The 20,060-nt window shown below is 44.0% G+C and overlaps 1 long non-coding RNA gene across 2 annotated transcripts in view, besides 1 other annotated feature; it reads right to left on the reverse strand.

The window, feature by feature from the left end:
• Positions 1-2,319: 2,319 nt before the first annotated feature.
• The window catches only part of LINC03036 (long intergenic non-protein coding RNA 3036), a 245,028-nt gene continuing 227,287 nt past the window's right edge, over positions 2,320-20,060 (reverse strand). For both annotated transcript variants that reach the window (NR_186540.1, NR_186541.1), the window contains one exon: positions 2,320-4,818. This is a non-coding gene — a long non-coding RNA (long intergenic non-protein coding RNA 3036). The remainder of the gene's footprint in view (positions 4,819-20,060) is intronic.
• Positions 13,045-13,600: an enhancer, noted in NCBI's record as "NANOG-H3K4me1 hESC enhancer chr10:120554781-120555336 (GRCh37/hg19 assembly coordinates)". NCBI's record gives its function as "activates a minimal SCP1, AML or CMV promoter by ChIP-STARR-seq in primed H9 embryonic stem cells {active_cell/tissue: H9 hESC(primed)}" and the evidence as "EXISTENCE:reporter gene assay evidence [ECO:0000049][PMID:30033119]".

Genomic DNA, 20,060 nt, shown 5'->3' on the forward strand with positions numbered 1-20,060 from the left:
TTGGTTGCCCCATCTTAAAATGGGCATGAAAATCATAGTACCTACCTCATGTTTTGGGCAAAGGATTAAGTGCAAGAATCCATGTAAACATATTTAGGAACTGTTCAGTGTGTGTTTGCTATGATTTATCTTCTTCATTTACTCAATAAATGTTTTTGAGCATCTAATATGTGCTAGGCCCTATTCTAGGCTCTGGAAATGTCACACATCTGATGAACATCCATTTGTTAGGCTACAAGGCATTTAAACCGGGCAAGAGTTTGTGATGTACCTGCCCCACTGTATGACTTGGCTTTTTCTCCATAACCACCCAGAAACTCAGTGGCTTCAAGCAACAGATGTTTCTGCTTTCTCATGACTCTATGGGTGATCCGAGCAATTCTTGTGTTCTGGACCAGGTTAGCCAGAGGTGGGTGGTCCAGGATGATACATGGGTCCTGGGCCTCAGTTGGGATGTTTGCAGCCACCTTCCCCATGGTTTCTTAACCTACAAGTGAGAGGTGACAGCATGCTGGCAGTCCTCAGAGCCCTCGCTTGCTCTCGGCACCTCCCCTGCCTGGGCTCCCACTTTGGTGGCATTTGAGGAGCCCTTCAGCGCCCCCTCTGCACTGTGGAAGCCCCTTTCTGGGCTGGCCAAGGCTGGAGCCCACTCCCTCAGCTTGCAGGGAGGTGTGGAGGGAGAGGCACGAGCGGGAACCGGGGCTGCGTGCAGCGCTTGCGGGCCAGCTGGAGTTCCAGGTGGGCGTGGGCTTGGTGGGCCCCGCACTCGGAGCAGCCAGCCAGCCCTGCTGGCCCCGGGCAATGGGGGACTTAGCACCCGGGCCAGTGGCTGCGGAGGGTCTACTGAGTCCCCCAGCAGTGCCGGCCCACCGGCGCTGCGCTCGATTTCTCGCTGGGCCTTAGCTGCCTTCCCGCGGGGCAGGGCTCGGGACATGCAGCCCGCCATGCCTGAGCCTCCCACCCACTCCATGGGCTCCTGTGCGGCCTGAGCCTCCCCGACGAGCACCACCCCCTACTCCACGACGTCCAGTCCCATCGACCACCCAAGGGCTGAGGAATGCGAGCGCAGGGCACAGGACTGGCAGGCAGCTCCACCTGCAGCCCCGGTGCGGGATGCACTAGGTGAAGCCAGCTGGACTCCTGAGTCTGGTGGGGACGTGGAGAGTCTTTATATCTAGTTCAGGGATTGTAAATACACCAATCATCACCCTGTGTTTAGCTCAAGGTTTGTGAGGGCACCAATCGACACTCCGTATCTAGCTGCTCTGGTGGGGCCTTGGAGAACCTTTATGTCTAGGTCAGGGATTGTAAATACACCAATCAGCACCCTGTGTTTAGCTCAAGGTCTGTGAATGCACCAATCGACACTCAGTATCTAGCTGCTCTGGTGGGGCCCTGGAGAACCTGTGTGTCGAAACTCTGTATCTAACTAATCTGATGGGGACGTGGAGAACCTTTGTATCTACCTCAGGGATTGTAAACGCACCAATCAGCGCCCTGACAAAACAGGCCACTCGGCTCTACCAATCAGCAGGATGTGGGTGGGGCCAGATAAGAGAATAAAAGCAGGCTGCCCGAGCTAGCATTGGCAACGGGCTTGGGTCCCCTTGTGCACTGTGGAAGGTTTGTTCTTTTGTTGTTTGCAATAAATCTTGCTACTGCTCACTCTTTGGGTCCACGCTGCTTTTCTGAGCTGTAACACTCACCGCGAAGATTTGCAGTTTCACTCCTGAGCCCAGCGAGACCACGAGCCCCCCGGAAGGAACGAACTACAGACGCGTTGCCTTAAGAGCTATAATACTCACCGTGAAGGTCTGCAGCTTCACTCCTGAGCCAGCGAGACCACAAACCCACCAGAAGGAAGAAACTCCGAACACATCTGAATATCAGAAGGGAGAGACTCCACACGCGCCACCTTAAGAGCTGTAACACTCACCGTGAGGGTCCGCGGCTTCATTCTTGAAGTCAGTGAGACCAAGAACCCGCCAATTCTGGACACACAAGGAGGGTACAATGGTCTTGTTCAGTAGGTGCCAGAAGGTCCCACGGTAAGAAAGAAGGCAAACACCAACTCACAAGCACTTTCCTCTGCTTGTGACACATTAGCTATTTTTACATTGTCCAAAGCAAGTCACAAGGCCAGAGTCCGTGGGAGGGGACCACCCAAGGGCATGGAACGAGGGAACCAGGAACAAGTGGGAGCTGTTACTGCCACAACCAACTACACTGACCCATTTCTCAGTGGTCTCCGAATGTTTTTGATCATATATCCCTGTATTAGTCTGTTCAGGCTGCCATCACAAAATAACACAGACAGAATAGCTTAAACAACAGAAGTTTATTTTTTCATAGTTATGGAAACCCAAGATCAGGGTGCTGGTATGGTTGGGTTGTGGTGGGGTCTCTCTTCCTGGTCTGCAGATGGCTGCCTTCTTGCTATGTTCTTACATGGTCCTTCCTGGATGTATGCACAGGGAGAGAGAGCACAATATCTCTCTCATCCCTCTCTTACAAGGTCACCAATTCAATTGATTAGGACCCCACCCTTATGACCTTATTTAACCTTAATTACCTCCTAAAAGCCCCATGTCCAAATACAGTCACACTGGGGATTAGGGCTTCAACATATGTATTTGTTGGAACACAGTTCAGTCCATAGAAATCTCTATTTTTTAAGACATTTGCAGCTCCAATACATGCATATTTATGTATACATTATATATACATTACATTAAAAATTTTTTAAAGATGAGTTAAAGATGTAATATTTTAGTGTTAATTTTGATGGCATTTTTTTATTAATAAATAATATTGCAAGGCACAATACACACTAAGGGTGAGCTCATGAATGACAGTGGACATAAATCCATCTTTCAAGGGACCCTCTTGATCATTTTAGTTTGGGGGGCAAAGAGGCTGACTTCTTGGCAGATTTCATTTTACCTCATAATGTGCTGATATAGAGCTGATACTAGCCACATAAGCTCTGCCAATTTCTTATGGTTTTCTGGGACTTATACTATTAGTATTATCTTTAATCTTCAATCTATAATAATCTATTAAAACATTTTCATTTTGTAAAGATCAATTTTGGTAAAACTAGATCATGGGCTGGGTCCAGTGCCTCACATCTATAAATCCTAGCAATTTGGGAGGCTGAAGCAGGTGGATCTTTTGAGGCCAGGAATTTGAGACCAGCCTAGGCAACACAAAAAGACCTCATCTCTACAGGAAAAAAACAAAAAACAAAAAAAAAAAACCTGGGTGTGGTGGCATGCACCTATAGTCACAGCGACTCAGGAGGCTGAGACAGGAGGATTGCTTGAGCCCAGGAGTTCGAGGCTGCAGTGAGCTAAGATCGCACCACTGCACTCCAGTGTGGGGGACAGGGCCAGATCCTGTCTCTTTAAAAACAAAAACAAAAAATGGCCTAGGTTGTGTAGTTTATAAATCCATCTACCCACTTGCGAATAGACCAAACTATCTCAGATTCCCCTGAGTGTTGATGTGCAGGTGGTGAGGTTACCAGCACCGGCCCCCACATCACAGAGCATTCAAGGCTGCACCTGTGCCATGGGTGGCAAAGGAGCCTCTGAGGAAAGCTATGACTGTCAAGCTGAGTCCGTTTTGTGCTTTGTGGGTTTTTAAAATTTTTGTTTAATACTTTTTGGTGTTCTACACATTCAGAGAAACTTTTCTAGTAACAAATGATAGAAATGATCCTTGAAAGTATCATCTTCTGAACATTAAAAGATTAGGAAAGTATAATTGCTTTGTTATTTTTTTAGCCCCAAAGTTCCAATATTTTTTCACACAACCCAGCACCTTGTGCTGAGCGCCCCACTTGGAAACCACTGATTTGCTTTATCAAAAAAAAAGTGGTTTTGTACATGATATTAAAGTGTAAAACAATGCCTTATGCCCAATGTTAGTAGCAACTGAATAGTTTATATAAAAGTATCTGGTAAGTAGGGCTTGGTCTTATATAAAATTGGAAATCTGGCTGGGCGCGGTGGCTCATGCCTGTAATCCCAACACTTTGGGAGGTTGAGGCAGGCGGGTCACTTGTGGCCAGGAGTTCAAGACCAGCCTGGCCAACATGGTGAAACCCCGTCTCTACTAAAAATACAAAATTAGCCGGGCATGGTAGTGTATGCCTGTAGTCCCAGCTACTCAGGAGGCTGAGGCATGAGAATCACTTGAACCCGAATTGCTTGAACCCAGGGGGCAGAGGGTGCAGAGAGCTGAGATCAGGCCACTACACTCCAGCCTGCAACAGATCAAGAATCTGTCTCAAAAAAAAAAAAAAAATCAGAAATCTATGGGATTGCGAGTGATTTACTCAAAAGAAACCAAAAAAGGCTTTATATTCACATGAGTCTGTGGCCCCTGGGGAGGATATCCTCAGCTCCCTCTCCACTTCCCTGACCATGGACTGGGCTTTAGGACTCTAGTCCTATGTCCCATTAGTTTTCTACAACTGTCATAACAAATTACTACAAATTCAGCCACTTAAAACAATAGAAATTTGTTCTCTTACAGTTCTGGAGGCCAGAAGTCGAAATCCAGGTGTCGGCAGTGTCAGCAGGGCCACGCTCCCTCTGAAGGCCCTAGGAGAGGCTCCTTTCTTGCCTCTTCCAGCTTCTAGTGCCATCAGCATTCCTTGGCTTGGACGGCTTTGCTCTGTCTTCACTTTGCCTTTTCATCCATGTTTCTGTCTTTTCCTCTGTGTGTCCTTTATCAGGACATGTGTCATTGGATTTCAGGCTCACTTGGATAATCAGGATGACCACTTCATCTCAAAATCTTTAATTACATCTGCAAAGACCCCGTTTCCAAATAAGGTCACGTTCGCAGGTTTTTAGGGTCATCATTCAGCCCACTGCACACGTTCTCCCTGCAATGTCAATGGATGAATTGGGGTCCAGAATGAGAGTTGGGGCACCGTGTGGACCAGCCTCTGTCTTTCCCTCCTTCCTGACTCTGCAGGGCTCCTCTGAACACCATGCTTTATCATGGAAGCCTTCCTCCTTGTATTTTACAGTCAACTCACATCTTCCATGAGGAGGAAATGCCTGAGACTTAGAAAAGGGGTCCTATGGTTCCTTCTCCCTGTCTTCCCACAATCATTCCATGCATTTCCTCTCCTCTATGATGCTTCAAAGCACTCTCTGGGCAACCACCAGCCTAGTTTCTGATCTCCAAAAAAGGAGCCACCCTTTTGGTGGGTTTATCATGTCAGCCCAACAGCAGTAAACCTGGCCAGCCCCATGGCAGAGTTCTTGCAAACAGGGAAGGGAAAAGTGGACCCAAGAGACTTTCTCTGGGCCTAGGAATCAGACTATTTTCAAGTCTAATCAGGGGCCGGGTGTGGTGGCTCATGCCTGTAATCCAAGCACTTTGAGAGGCCAAGGTGGGAGGATTGCTTGAGTCTAATAGTTCAAGACCAGCCTGGACAACATGGCAAAACTCCATGTCTACAAAATATACAAAAATTAGCTAGGGATTGTGGTGTGCACCTGCAGTCCCAACTACTTGGTAGGCTGAGGCAGGAGGATTGCTTGAGGAGGCAGAGATTACAGTGAGCCAAGATCACACCACTGCACTCCAGTCTGGGCAACAGAGTGAGACCCAGTCTCAAAAAATAAGAATAATTAAAAATAATAATAATAGGCAGTGCTCCTAGAATCTGAGGATACCCTGGCAGTTGGCAGGGCAGTGGTGCTGGCTTGGGGTGAGAAAACATCAGACAAGAAGACAGAAAAATAGCTGGGTGTGGTGGTAGGGCTAATGTGCCCCAGCCTTGAGGTCACACTTCAAGGAACTAGAGAAACAAGAACAAACCAAACCCAAACCCAGCAGAAGAAAAAAAAATAATCAAGATCAGAGCAGAACTAAATAAAATGGAAACAATCAAACTAACAAAACCTATACAAAAGATAAATGAAACAAAAAGCTGGTTCTTTGAAAAGATAAACAAAATTGATAGATCATTAGCGAGATTCACCAAGAAAAGACAAGAGAAGATCCAAATAAGCTCAATTAAAAATGAAATGGGAGATACTACAACTGATACCACTGGAATACAAAAGGCTACTGTGGACACCTTTATGCACACAAACTAGAAAATCTAGAGATGGATAAATTCCTGGAAATATACAACCCTCCCAGATTAAATCAGTAAGAAATAGAAACTCTAAACAGACCAATAACAAGATTAAGACAGTAAAAAAAAAAAAAAAATTGCCAACAAAATAAAGCCCAGGACCAGACGGATTCACAGGCATTCAAAGAAGAATTGGTACCAATCTTATTGAAACTCTTCCAAAAGACAAAGAGGGAATCCTCCCTAAATCATTCTATGGAGCAAGTATCATCCTAATTCTAAAACCGGAAAAAGACATAACAAAAAAAGAAAACTATAGACCAGCATCCCTGATGAACATAGATGCAAAAATCTTCAACAAAATACTAGCTAACTGAATCCAACAGCATATCAAAAAGATAACACACCCATAATCAAGTGGGTTTCATAGCAGGGATGCAGGGATAGTTTAACATATGCAAGTCAATAAATGTGATACTTCACATAAACAGAATTAAAAACAAAAATTATGTGATTATCTCAATAGATGCAGAAAAGGCATTTGGCAAAATCTAGCTTCCCTTCATGATTAAAACTCTCAGCAAAATTGGCATAGAAGGGATATGCCTCAAGGTAATAAAAGCCATCTATGACAAACCCTCAGCCAACATTATACTGAATGGGGAAAAGTTGAAAGCATTGCCCCTGAAAACCGGAACAAGACAAGAATGCCCACTTTCACCACCTCTATTCAACATAGACTGGAAGTCCTAGCCAGAGCAATCAGACAAGAGAAAGAAATAAAGGGCATCCAAATCGGTAAAGAGGAAGTCAAACCATCGCTGTTTGCCGATGATATGATCATATACCTATAAAACCCTAAAGACTCATCCAAAAAACTCCTAGATCTGATAAATGAATTCAGTAAAGTTTCAAAATCAATTCAGGAAGCAAAATCAATGTACACAAATCAGTAGCATTGCTATACACCAACAGCGACCAAGCTGAGAAATAAATCAAAGACTCAATCCATTTCACAACAGCTGCAAAAAATAAAATAAAATAAAATACTTAGAAATATACTCAACCAAGGAGGTGAAAGACTTCTACAAGGAAAGCTACAAAACACTGCTGAAAGAAATCATAGACAACACAAACAAATGGAAACACATCCCATGCTCATGGATGGGTAGAATCAATATTGTGAAAATGACCATAGTGCCAAAAGCAATCTACAAATTCAGTGCAACTCCCATCAAAATACCACCATAATTCTTCAAACAACTAGAAAAAACAATCCTAAAATTCATATGGAACCAGAAAAGAGCCCACATAGCCAAAGCAAGACACAGCAAAAAGAACAAATCTGGAGGCATCACATTACCTGACTTCAAGCTATCCTATAAGGCCATAGTCACCAAAACAGCATGGTACTGGCATAAAAATAGGCATGTAGACCAATGGAACAGAATAGAGAACCCAGAAATAAAGCCAAATACTTACAGCCAACTGATCTTCAACCAAGCAAACAAAAACATAAAGTGGGGAAAGGACACCCTATTCAACAAATGGTGCTGGGATAATTGGCAAGTCCCATGTAGGAGAATGAAACTGGATCCTCATCTCTCACCTTATACAAAAATCAACTCAAGATGAATCAAAGACCTAAATCTAAAACATGAAATCATAAACATTCTAGAAGATAACTTTGGTAAAACTCTTCCAGACGTTGGCTTAGGCAAAGAGTTCATGACCAAGAACCCGAAAGCAAATGCAACAAAACGAAATAAATAGATGGGGCCTAATTAAGCTAAAAAGCTTCTGCAGAGCAAACCAAATAACCAGAAGAGCAAACAGAAAACCCACAGAATGGGAGGAAATATCCGCAAACTATGCATCTGACGAAGGACTAATATCCAGAATCTACAAGGAACTGAAACAAATCAGCAAGAAAAAACAACGTCATCAAAAAGTGGGCAAAGGACATGGATAGACAGTTCTTCAAAAGAAGATATACAAACGGCGAACAAACATGAAAAAATGTTAAACATCACTAAGTATCAGGGAAATGCAAATTTAAAAACACAATGAGAAACCACCTTACTCTGCAAGAATGGTCATAAATAAAAAATCAAAAAATAATAGATGTTGGCATGGATTTGGTGACAAAAGAACACTTTTACACTGCTGGTGGGAAGGTAAACTTGTACAACCAATATGGAAAACAGAATGGAGATTCCTTAAAGAACTGAAAGTAGATCTACCATTTGATCCAATAATCCCACTACTGGGTATCTACCCAGAGGAAAATAAGTCATTATATGAAAAAGACATTTGCACACACGTTTATAGCAGCACAATTCGCAATTGCAAAAATATGGAACCAGCCTAAATGCCCAGTGACCAATGAGTGGATAAAGAAAATGTGTTATATGTACACCATGGAATACTACTCATGTGAATAGCATTCATAGCAACCTGGATGGAGTTGGAGACCATTATTCTAAGTGAAGTAACTCAGGAATGGAAAACCAAACATCTTATGTTCTCACTTACAAGTGAGAGCTTAGCTATGAGGGCGCAAAGGCCTAAGAATGACATAATGGGGGGCCGGGCGCGGTGGCTCGCACCTGTAATCCCAGCACTTTGGGAGGCCAAGGCGGGCGGATCACGAGGTCAGGAGATCAAGACCGTCCTGGCTAACACGGTGAACCCCGTCTCTACTAAAAATACAAAAAAATTAGCCAGGCGCGGTGGCGGGCGCGTGAACCCAGGAGGCGGAACTTGCTGTGAGCCGAGATCGCGCCACTGCACTCCAGCCTGGGCAGCAGAGCAAGACTCCGTCTCAAAAAAAAAAAAAAAAAAAAAAGAATGACATAATGGACTTTGGGGACTCAGGAAGAAGGGTGGGAGGGGGGTGAGGGACAAAAGACTACACACTGGGTACAGTGTACATTGCTTGTGGGACGGGTGAACCAAAATCTCAGAAATTACCACTAAAGTATTTATCCATGTAAGAGAAAACCACCTGTTTCCCAAAAATGACTGACATTTAAAAAAAGAAAACCCCCCAAATAATAGTAATAATAATGTTTAATTAGGTGTTTGCCCTTTGACCAGAGTTGCTGTATTTAGCAAATAAGAATGCAGGAGGCCCAGTTGAATTTGTTTTGTATAGGGGACAACTGGTATTTTAGTATGAGTATGTCCCATGGAATATTTAAAAATTTACAAATGCAGCCGGGCGCGGTGGCACACGCCTGTAATCCCAGCACTTTGGGAGGCCAAGGCGGGCAGATCACGAGGTCATGAGATCGAGATCATCCTGGCTAACATGGTGAAACCCCGTCTCTACTGAAAATACAAAAAAAAAAAAAAAATTAGCCGGGCGTGGTGGTGGGCGCCTACAGTCCCAGCTACTCCGGAGGCTGAGGTAGGAGAATGGTGAAAACCCGGGAGGCGGAGCTTGCAGTGAGCTGAGATCATGCCACTGCACTCCAGCCTGGGCAACAGAGCGAGACTCCATCTCAAAAAAAAAAAAAAATTACAAATGCAATATTTGGAACATATTTATACTAAAAATTATTCGTTATTCATCTGAAATTCAAGTTTAACTGGGTATCCCGTATTTTATCTGTCAACCCTACCTATGACCTTCCTTTCCTTCCCTCTTCTTTGCTTCCTTCTTTCCTTCCTCTGTTCTTCCTTCAAAAAAGCCTTTGTTGTAAGACTACTATCTGCAGAGTCCTATACTAGAAACAAATAAAGCATAATGTTCTTCAGGGTGTTCACAGCATAGGGGAAGGGAAAAAGCAGCAGCAAATGCCTTTAGCACAGTGCAGTTCCCCCACTCCAATAAATGTACATATAAATAGTTCAGGGACCACAGAGAAAAAAGCAATTAATTCTGTTTGGGGTAGAACCAGGTAAGGTGGAGGAAAAGAGATTGAGAAAAGGTGCAGGGTGCAGGTTCTTGGCCCATTCTTGATGGACAGGTGTAAAGCAATGGAGAGGTATTCAGGCCAAAGGCAAGTTCAGGCAAAGGTATGGCATGAGAAAGACACACTCTGTACGGGGGACATGGAAGACCTGCCATGGTTGGTTTGGTGAGGTGGGATCTGGATGTGTCTGTGGGTAGGGGTGGCTCTGATGTCAGGAGAGGGGATCAGAAACCCCACCTTGCTTGGAGTCAAGTGTGTAGGGCTCTTTATTCTATGCTGAGGAGCTGGAGCTTTCTCTGATGTGTCTTGAGAGACTGAATATACAAATGGACAGTGGCCAGACCTTAGATGACTGTAGACCTCTGATCCACAAACTTAGCAGTCACTTGCCCAGAAGCCAAACCACAGCCTCTGCAGCAATCAGCCAGAAAAGTCAGGCTTTGGGCAACAACTGCCAGCTTCCCTATTTTTTGCCCCTGCTTCCAACCAACTCAGGACCAATCACATAAAATGCCCTGTTTCTAATTAGTCTGCCTCCAGCTTCCCTAGGCCAACAACCTCCAATCAAAGTACATGCGAAGTCTTCCTTTTTCTTCACCATAAAGCTTCCCCATTCCCCTGCCTGCCTTTGAGTTTCTGTTCTAAATAAACAGCCTTGTTTTTTCTCATTTCAGTGGTTTTCATTTATTTCCTCAATATAGACTGTACAGATTGCTTTTGAAGAGGGGGAGAGGGAGCAATGGGAGTAGTTAGCTCTGTAAAACTGATACCCTAATATATAGTGCTAATAGAACAATAGGTAGTGGTGGCATTCAGAGCTAGAAAAATCTGCTTTTGAGACCCTTTGCTATCTATACACACATACCCACACACAATTTTTTAACGTTTAGACACACCTGAACAGCCTCTAATTCTTTTATACTCTAAAGAAAGATTTTAAATCGTTAAAGTACAGTTTTTTTTAAAAAAAAAAAAAAGGATTTTTAAAGTTACCCTTAATTTTATTTTTTATTTTTATTTTTATTTATTTATTTATTTTTTGAGATGGAGTTTCCCTCTTGTTGCCCAGGCTGGAGTGCAATGGCATGATCTCGGCTCACTGCAACCTCCACCTCCCAGGTTCAAGCGATTCTCCTGCCTCAGCCTCCCAATAGCTGGGATTATAGGTGCCCACCACCACGCCCAGCTAAGTTTTTGGACTTTTAGAAGAGACAGGGTTTCACCATGTTGGCCAGGCTGGTCTTGAACTCCTGACCTCAGGTGATCCACCTGCCTCGGTCTCCCAAAGTGCTGGGATTACAGGCATGAGCCACCACACCCAGCCCAATTTTATTTTCAATGTAATATTTTCTTTCTTTCCTCTTGTGTGGTAGATTGCATCATTGACTCCAGTTTGTCACCCTTCCCTGTATTTACACCCTCGGTCATTTGACTCTGGGACTTTCCATGAAGTGGGCATCACATGGCTTTCTGCCCCACCGATGCCATGGTTGGCCACGAGACCTGCTTTGGCCAATGGGATGTTGGCAGACATGATGCAAGAAGAGGCTTGGAACAGACCTACACTCCGGGCCTGGGCTTTTGTACCTCAACCGTCTTGGCGAGAAGAACATGCCCAAACCAGTCTGTGGTTGCAGGAGAAGGATAAGAGTCAGGTGGAGCTGAGCCATGTCCAGCCAGGCCTAGTCTACTTTAGACTACCTCCAGCTGACCCACAGACAGATGAGCTCAATCAATGGCTATTATTGTTTTATGCCGCTGAAATTGTTGTGGCTGTTACGCAGCATTTCTATATAATAGTTGAATATTACACTCCTTGACTTCAGAAGTTGAAGAAATGTTTTGTTATTTTTAACGTGATTGGTTTTTTTGTTTGTTTGTTTTGTTTTTGAGACAGTCTCACTCTGTTGCCCAGGCTGGAGTGCAGTGGTGCAATCTTGGCTCACTGCAACCTCTGCTTCCCAGGTTCAAGAGATTCTCGTGCCTCAGTCTCCCGAGTGGCTGGGACTACAGGCGTGCCACCACGCCCAGCTAATTTTTTGCATTTTTAGTAGAGACAGGGTTTCACCATGTTGCCCAGGTTGGTCTTGAACTCCTGAGCTCAGGCAGTCCACCCACCTCAGCCTCCCAAAGTGTTAGGATTACAGGTGTGAGCCACCATGCCAGGCCTTAATAAGTGATTGTTAATGGCAGCTCTTATTGGTTGTCTACCCAAATCCATTCTTTGCTGCTGGTAGAACCTTGATTTTCTTCAGGATTTTACCCTCTGCCTAGCCTGGACAAGCACCAGGGAAGGTGCCCTCTTCAACTATAGGGAAAAAATCTTAACCAATCCAAGCCAAGTGTAGCTTGCTGGCAATTGGTTGAAGAGAGAGCATATAACACAGTTACAGCCAATGAGATGTGAGGAGTCAGCTGAGGGGCTTTCTGGAAAGGCTTCCCTCCTCTTTGAAAGAGATCCATGAGATGATTCTTCCTTTTATCATTCCAGTAGACTTTTGGAACTGTTGCCGCCATCTTGGGACCATGAGGGGGCCAGCAAGAGGACAAACCAACAGGCTGAAGAAGACAGACTGGGAAGAGCCCAAGTTCAAAATGTCATTGAAAATCCACCCAATTGGCAAGCCTTGGAGCTGCCCTAACTCAGGGCTACTTGGTACCTGTCCTCATGGTTTAGGCCACCTTTCTTTGCAGGTTGTGTTCCTTATAGTTCAATTCTTCCTAGATGATTCAGATACCCCCTCAGAAGAGGAAAATCCAAGTTATAGAGAGTGATGTATAGGTTTTCTTTTCTTTCTCATGTTTCTATCCAAGTGATTCATCCCTGAGTGAGGACCTCTAACAAACTCTTTAAAGATGGGCTTAAAGAATGTTCACTCCAGGCAGCCCCTGCCCGGCCAGCCCCCCCGTCCGGGAGGTGGGGGGCGCCTCTGCCTGGCCACCCCTTCTGGGAAGTGAGGAGCCCCTCTGCCCAGCTGCCACCCCATCTGGGAGGTGTACCCAACAGCTCATTGAGAATGGGCCATGATGACGATGGCGGTTTTGTCGAATAGGAAAGGGGGAAATGTGGGGAAAAGATAGAGAAATCAGATTGTTGCTGTGTTTGTGTAGAAAGAAGTAGACATAGGAGACTCCATTTTGTTCTGTACTAAGAAAAATTCTTCTGCCTTGGGATGCTGTTGATCTATGACCTTACCCCCAACCCGGTGCTCTCTGAAACATGTGCTGTGTCCACTCAGGGTTAAATGGATTAAGGGTGGTGCAAGATGTGCTTTGTTAAACAGATGCTTGAAGGCAGCATGCTCGTTAAGAGTCATCACCACTCCCTAATCTCAAGTACCCAGGGACACAAACACACAGGGTCCTCTGCCTAGGAAAACCAGAGACCTTTGTTCACTTGTTTATCTGCTGACCTTCCCTCCACTATTGTCCTATGACCCTGCCAAATCCCCCTCTGTGAGAAACACCCAAGAATGATCAATAAAAATAAAAAAAAAATTAAAAAAAAAAAAAAAGAATGTTCACTCCAGAACTCCCATTCACAATTGCTACAAAGAGAATGAAATATCTAGGAATACAATTTACAGGGGATGTGAAGGACCTCTTCAAGGAGAACTACAAACCACTGCTCAAGGAAATAAGAGAGGAAACAAACAAATGGAAAAACATTCCATGCTCATGGATAGGAAGAATCAATGTCATGAAAATGGCCATACTGCCCAAAGTAATTTATAGATTCAATGCTATCCCCATCAAGCTACCACTGACTTTCTTCACAGAATTAGAAAAAAAGTACTTTAAATTTCATATAGAACCAAAAAAGAGCCCATATAGCCAAGACAATCCTAAGGAAAAAGAACAAAGGTGGAGGCATCACGCTACCTGACTTCAAACTATACTACAAAGCTACAGTAACCAAAACAGCATGGTACTGGTACCAAAACAGATATATAGACCAATGGAACAGAAGAGAGGCCTCAGAAATAACACCACACATCTACAACCATCTGATCTTTGACAAACCTGACAAAAACAAGCAATGGGGAAAGGATTCCCTATTTAATAAATAGTGTTGGGAAAACTGGCTAGCCATATGCAGAAAACTGAAACTGGACCCCTTCCTTACACCTTATACAAAAATAAATTCAAGATGGATTAAAGACTTAAATGTTAGACCTAACACCATAAAAACCCTAGAAGAAAACTTAGGCAATTACATTCAGGACATAGGCATTGACAAAATCTTCATGACTAACACACCAAAAGCAATGGCAACAAAAGCCAAAATTTACAAATGGGATCCAATTAAACTAAACAGCTTCTGCACAGCAAAAGAAAGTATCATCAGAGTGAACAGGCAAACTACAGAATGGGAGAAAATTTTTGCAATCTACCCATCTGACAAAGGGTTAATATCCAGAATCTATGAAGAACTTAAACAAATTTACAAGAAAAAAAACAAACAACCCCATCAAAAAGTGGGCAAAGGATATAACACACTTCTCAAAAGAAGACATTTATGCGGCCAGCTAACATATGAAAAAAAGCTCATCATCACTGGTCGTTAGAGAAATGCAAATCAAAACCACAATGAGATACCATCTCACGCCCATTAGAATGGCAATCATTAAAAAGTCAGGAAACATCAGATGCTGGAGAGGATATGGAGAAATAGGAATGCTGTTACACTGTTGGTGGGAGTATAAATTAGTTCAACCATTGTGAAAGGCAGTGTGGCAATTCCTCAAGGATCTAGAACCAGAAATGCCATTTGACCCAGCAATCCCATTACTGGGTATGTACCCAAAGGATTATAAGTCATTCTACTATAAAGACATATGTACATGTATGTTTACTGCAGCACTGTTCACAATAGCAAAGACTTGGAACCAACCCAAATGCCCATCAATGATAGACTGGATAAGGAAAATGTGGCACATATACACCATGGAATACTATTCAGCCATAAAAAGGATGAGGTCGTGTCCTTTGCAGGGACATGGATGAAGCTGAAAACCATCACTCCCAGCAAATTAACACATGAACAGAAAACCAAACACTGCATGTTCTCACTCATAAGTGGGAGTTGAACACTGAGAACACATGGACACAGGGAGGGGAACATCACACACTGGGGCCTGTTGGGGAGTGGGGAGCTAGGAGAGGGATAGCTTTAGGAGGAATACTTAATGTAGATGACGGGTTGATGGGTGCAGCAAACCACCATGGCACGTGTATGCCTATCTAACAAACCTACATGTTCTGCACATGTATCCCAGAACTTAAAGTATAATAATAATTAAAAAAAAAAAAAAAGAATGTTCACTCCAATAGATGGCTCTGAGATTTGACTTTGAGGGTTTTACCAGGGCTCTACTATGTTAGGAAATTACTTCTGGCCTCTCTATATGACTCTTTGATCCTTTCCCCAGTGAAATGGGGATCCCCTGAGGACAACTTCAGAACCTGGCAAGTGCAAGAAGAATTTCAACTATACAATTCCTTGGTAACATCCATCCTTCCAAAGAGAGACTTCTAGGCTCTATTGACTTGGAGTTGCTTTAAGTAGCAAGGGTGAAGTTGACCTTTTTTACATATTGGCAGCAAAATTACAAAAATCAAAGTCAATCCGCAAGAATGATCTTTCTCCAGAACAATGAGCATACTTCACTGGTGTGATATATTTCAGTTCAATAGACAGTATCTTCAGAAAACACATTAAAATGTCATTAGATTTCATCTAAACTTGCTGGTAATTTCGGTAACCTGACTATCTCTCCCTCCTCCCACCCTGTGCTCAACAGAAACAAGCTCATACCAAATTAACATTCATTTTGTTAAAACTAAATCTCAGACCACCTTCTGGACTTGCCCAGCTTTCTCCTTCCTCTGGGCCACTCGCTGGTTCTTTTCTCCTCTGGAATGACTCTCTCCCACTTACAACCTGGCAAACTCATCATCTGACAATACAAAGTTCACAGGTCAATTCCTCCTCAAAACCTTGCCTTGGACCCCTGAGGCAACACCACATAGAGGGGAGGTTGAAGTCAGGCTGACCTGAGGGTGGATCGAGCTCTGTACCCAATTAGCTGGGTGACCTTTGCCAAGGAAGCCAGTTTCTCTGAGCCAAGTGTCAGCTTTCTCGCCTGTAAAATATGAATCATGATTACCCCTGCCTTGGGCTTGTGCTGAGGATGAGATGAGCTCATGTAAGAATCCCTGGCACAGAGTTAAGGACTCAATGTGTTTTGGCTGTTGCTACAGGATACCTTCCCAAAGAATCATAAAGCTTTATAGCAATAAGGGACTTCAGAGTAGCTCTTCTCGACCTTCCATGTACAAGCCAATCACCTGGGGACACAGATTCTGAAGTCCTGGTGCAATGCCTGAATTTTTTTTTTTTTTTTTTTTTTTTTTTTTTGCGTTTCTTGCAAGTTTCAGAGTGCTGCAGATTCCCCTTGTCCCAGGAGCACACTTTGAAATGGCAAGACTTTAGGAGACATTGACTTCCTGCTCATTTTACAGAAAATAAGCATGAAGCCCGAGAAGAGCTGCTCCTAGCCCAAAAGGATCCAGAAAGCTGCTGAGAAAGGCAACACAGAACACAATCTGCTGGTGGAGTTTGAGGAGAGATTCACTCTCAAAGCAATTGCTGATCAGAAACAACTTTGTGAGGTTTATCTGTAAATTGTGAATACATTTCCTCCACCCAAGAGCCAGTACTCTGCTTGCTGAACAAGGTAAGCTTTATTCCTGCCTCTGAGATGGGAGGAAGATTGGGTGAGACGGACAATTTCAAGAACAAAGACATTAAGCTAAAATGAGTGGTATTCTATCTGGGGAGAAGCGGAAACACATTACCCAAGGGCCTGTGGCATAAAACATAGCTTAGAAGGAGCAGCTGTGGGTTGGTTGGTTTGTTTTAGACAGAGTTTTGTTCTTGTCGCCCAGGCTGAAGTGCAATGGCGTGATCTCGGCTCACTACAATCTCCACCTCCCGGATTCAAGCGATTCTCCTGCCTCAGCCTCCCGAGTAGCTGGGACTACAGGCATGCGCCACCAAGCCCGACTAATTTTTTTATTTTTAGTAGAGACAAGATTTCACCGTGTTGGCCAGGCTGGCCTTGAACTTCTGACCTAAGGTGATCCACCTGATGTCTCTCTCGCCCAGAGTGCTAGGATTACGGATGTGAGCCACCACACCTGGCCACAGCCGTGGGTTTTTACTCTTCTCAGAATATCCTAAAAAAATCAAAGTTTTCAGGAAATTGGGGGAGAGTGCAGGAACAGTCATCGCTTTTCCAACGTAAGATAATTTCCAGATTTGCAACATTCGGGAAATGAGCACAACTCACTCCTCTTTGAGGCAGCACCCAGCTGATGCAGCTCCATTGTGTGGCCAACTGAAAGGGTCCTGCAGTTTTCCTAAGTGTATCCCAGAGTTATTTCTTCATGAAGAGGACCTAAGCCATTCCATTCCATGGTCCGTGGTGCTGCCCAAAAGCCCATCACATGTACGGCCACTGTGGGTGCTTCCTTTTTCCGACATCTGACCCTTTATCCCATTTGGCTTACTCCAAAAGCTCAGCCCATGCTCCCAGGCATGGATAGGAAGGAACCCACTAAAAAAAAAAATGCACTATTCATTGAAAGTGCTAGAACCCGCCAGTCTCCAAATGCAGTCCTTTTGAAAAGGCATGACTCAGTCCTGAGTAACATCTGATACTTAACAAACGTCCATGAGCCATAACACCTCCTGGTGTCTGAGTGGTTTTCCCATCAACCTCTAAAATAAAAGCAAATCAGTTAGCCAGGTGCTGCATATGCTCAGAAGGCTATAGAAGCTCAGAGGTACAAGCACCTGGAGAAAATATATCAACCCTTCTGCATTATAACAACAATTATTGCAGAAATTCTTGTCATTGTCTATCAAAGTGAAATCAACGAACCCCCACAAGTTTCTGTACTGTTTGCTAGAAGTAAAGAGACAAATGAGACAAACAGCTCTTGCCCTCAGAGAGTTGACAATCTAGTAGAAGAAGGAAGAAGCCATCCAAATAACTAGGAAACAAGGTAAAGAGCAGCTTCTGCTCTAAAAAGGCAGTAGGATTGCTGAAGGAGGGGAATGTGAACCCTGGTCTTGCCCTTCAGGCAGTTTTTCATAGTTAATGATCCTGCATTCTCAAATTGCATAGGTATGTCTCAAATATGAGACAAGCCTTCTAATTTACAAGTAAGTGAACAGAAAAACTGTACACAGGCAGTCCTCTGCTTTTGTAAATATGAAAATATGTATCAAATTAACTGTATAGAGTGCAATTAGAGACTTACACATTATAAGTGGTTGTTCCATCCCAGGCAGCACTGTAGAGTTGGTAAGGCTGTACACTACACAAGGGCATCTGACCAAGGGTTAGACTGAAATCTAGATGTGTATCCTGATGTAGAGTTGTACTTATCCAGAAAAGAAAGGAATTCCTTTTCCCAATTTGCACAAGACACCATTTAGCTCGTAGTGGCCCTGATTCTGAGAGGTCCAAAATAGTTTTAAATTCCAGTTACATATTTATAGCATTTTCTTATATGTTGTTCTTTTCCTTTGCCATTAAGTCTACAGTGGACCCACTTAAGTCCAGTAAGCATTCAATTGAACTCAAAGATTGGCCACTGATCTCCATTTTGGAAGCAAGTGTATTAAGCATAGAAAACTTATATTGCTTATTTTTGAGATTACTCTTTTTTTCTACTTTCCACTTGTTTTTGTAAAACAACATGGACAAAGCACAGTAAAATGTTCAAATAGTTACGCATGTTCTGTTGAACAAAGAGAGCAACTGCCCACAGTGAATGGTTGGCTGGCAGGCAGCACCACCTGGGGGCAGCTCAAATTATTTTTCTCAGTAGTTAGTGTATGACAGTCCACATCTGTTATGTCCTGTAACAGAGCAATTAGGGGTGTCAGTGTTTAAAATGCTTATCTGGGCCAGGTGTGGTGGCTCACGCCTGTAATCCTAGCACTTTGAGAGGCTGAGGCGGGCAGATCACGAGGTCAGGAGTTTGAGACCAGCCTGCCCAACATGGTGAAGCACCATCTCTACTAAAATACAAAAATTAGCCGGGCGTGGTGGCGGGCATCTGTAATCCCAGCTACCTAGGAGGCTGAGGCAGGAGAATAGCTTGAACCCGGGAGGCAGAGATTGCAGTGAACCGAGATCATGCCATTGCACTCTATCCTGGACAACAGAACAAGACTTTGTCTCGGGAAAAAAAAATGCTTATCTGATTATCCCATTGAGGACAGCCTCTAACGCCATACCAAACATTAAGTGGGTAACCTCCTGCTTGATGCTGAGAATTCCTGGCAACTTCTCCCCAGTGCCTTTTTCCCTAATGCTTTATTCTCGGACTGGTCAGAGAGTCTTTGAACTCCCATAAACTCCTGTGTCATTCTTGTACACTTACCACATCTCTCTGCCTCTTTGGCATAGTCTGGGAGCAGCCAGGAATCACCTCTCGGCTCCACCTCCATAGCAACTGCCCTCTCAGAGGATCCACCTCCTCAGAGGGACTAGGAGCTCCTAGGTCAGGAAATGGCAGTGGCTGATGTAGCCTGATCTCCACCAGAAGTGGACGCTCCTCTTTGTTGCTGCCTGGTGAAGCGGGGGACTTATTTACTTTCACTGAAGATCTCCTTTAATTTTTTCTTTCCTCCTTCACTTTTCCTAATTTGGTTTTTCATTCATAGATGCATGCCTTTTTTTTTTTTTGAGACGGAGTCTCACTCTGTTGCCAGGCTGGAGTGTGGTGGCACGATCTCGGCTCACTGCAACCTCTGCCTCCTGGGTGCAAGAGATTCTCCTGTCTCAGCTTCCTGAGTAGCTGGGACTACAGGCGTGCACCACCACGCCCAGCTAATTTTTGTATTTTTAGTACAGACAGGGTTTCACCATGTTGGCCAGGCTGGTCTCGATCTCTTGACCTTGTGATCTGCCCACTTCAGCCTCCCAAAGTGCTGTGATTACAGGCGTGAGCCA

Source organism: Homo sapiens, chromosome 10 (assembly GCF_000001405.40).
Source record: "Homo sapiens chromosome 10, GRCh38.p14 Primary Assembly".
In the NCBI taxonomy this organism is placed as follows: domain Eukaryota; kingdom Metazoa; phylum Chordata; class Mammalia; order Primates; family Hominidae; genus Homo; species Homo sapiens.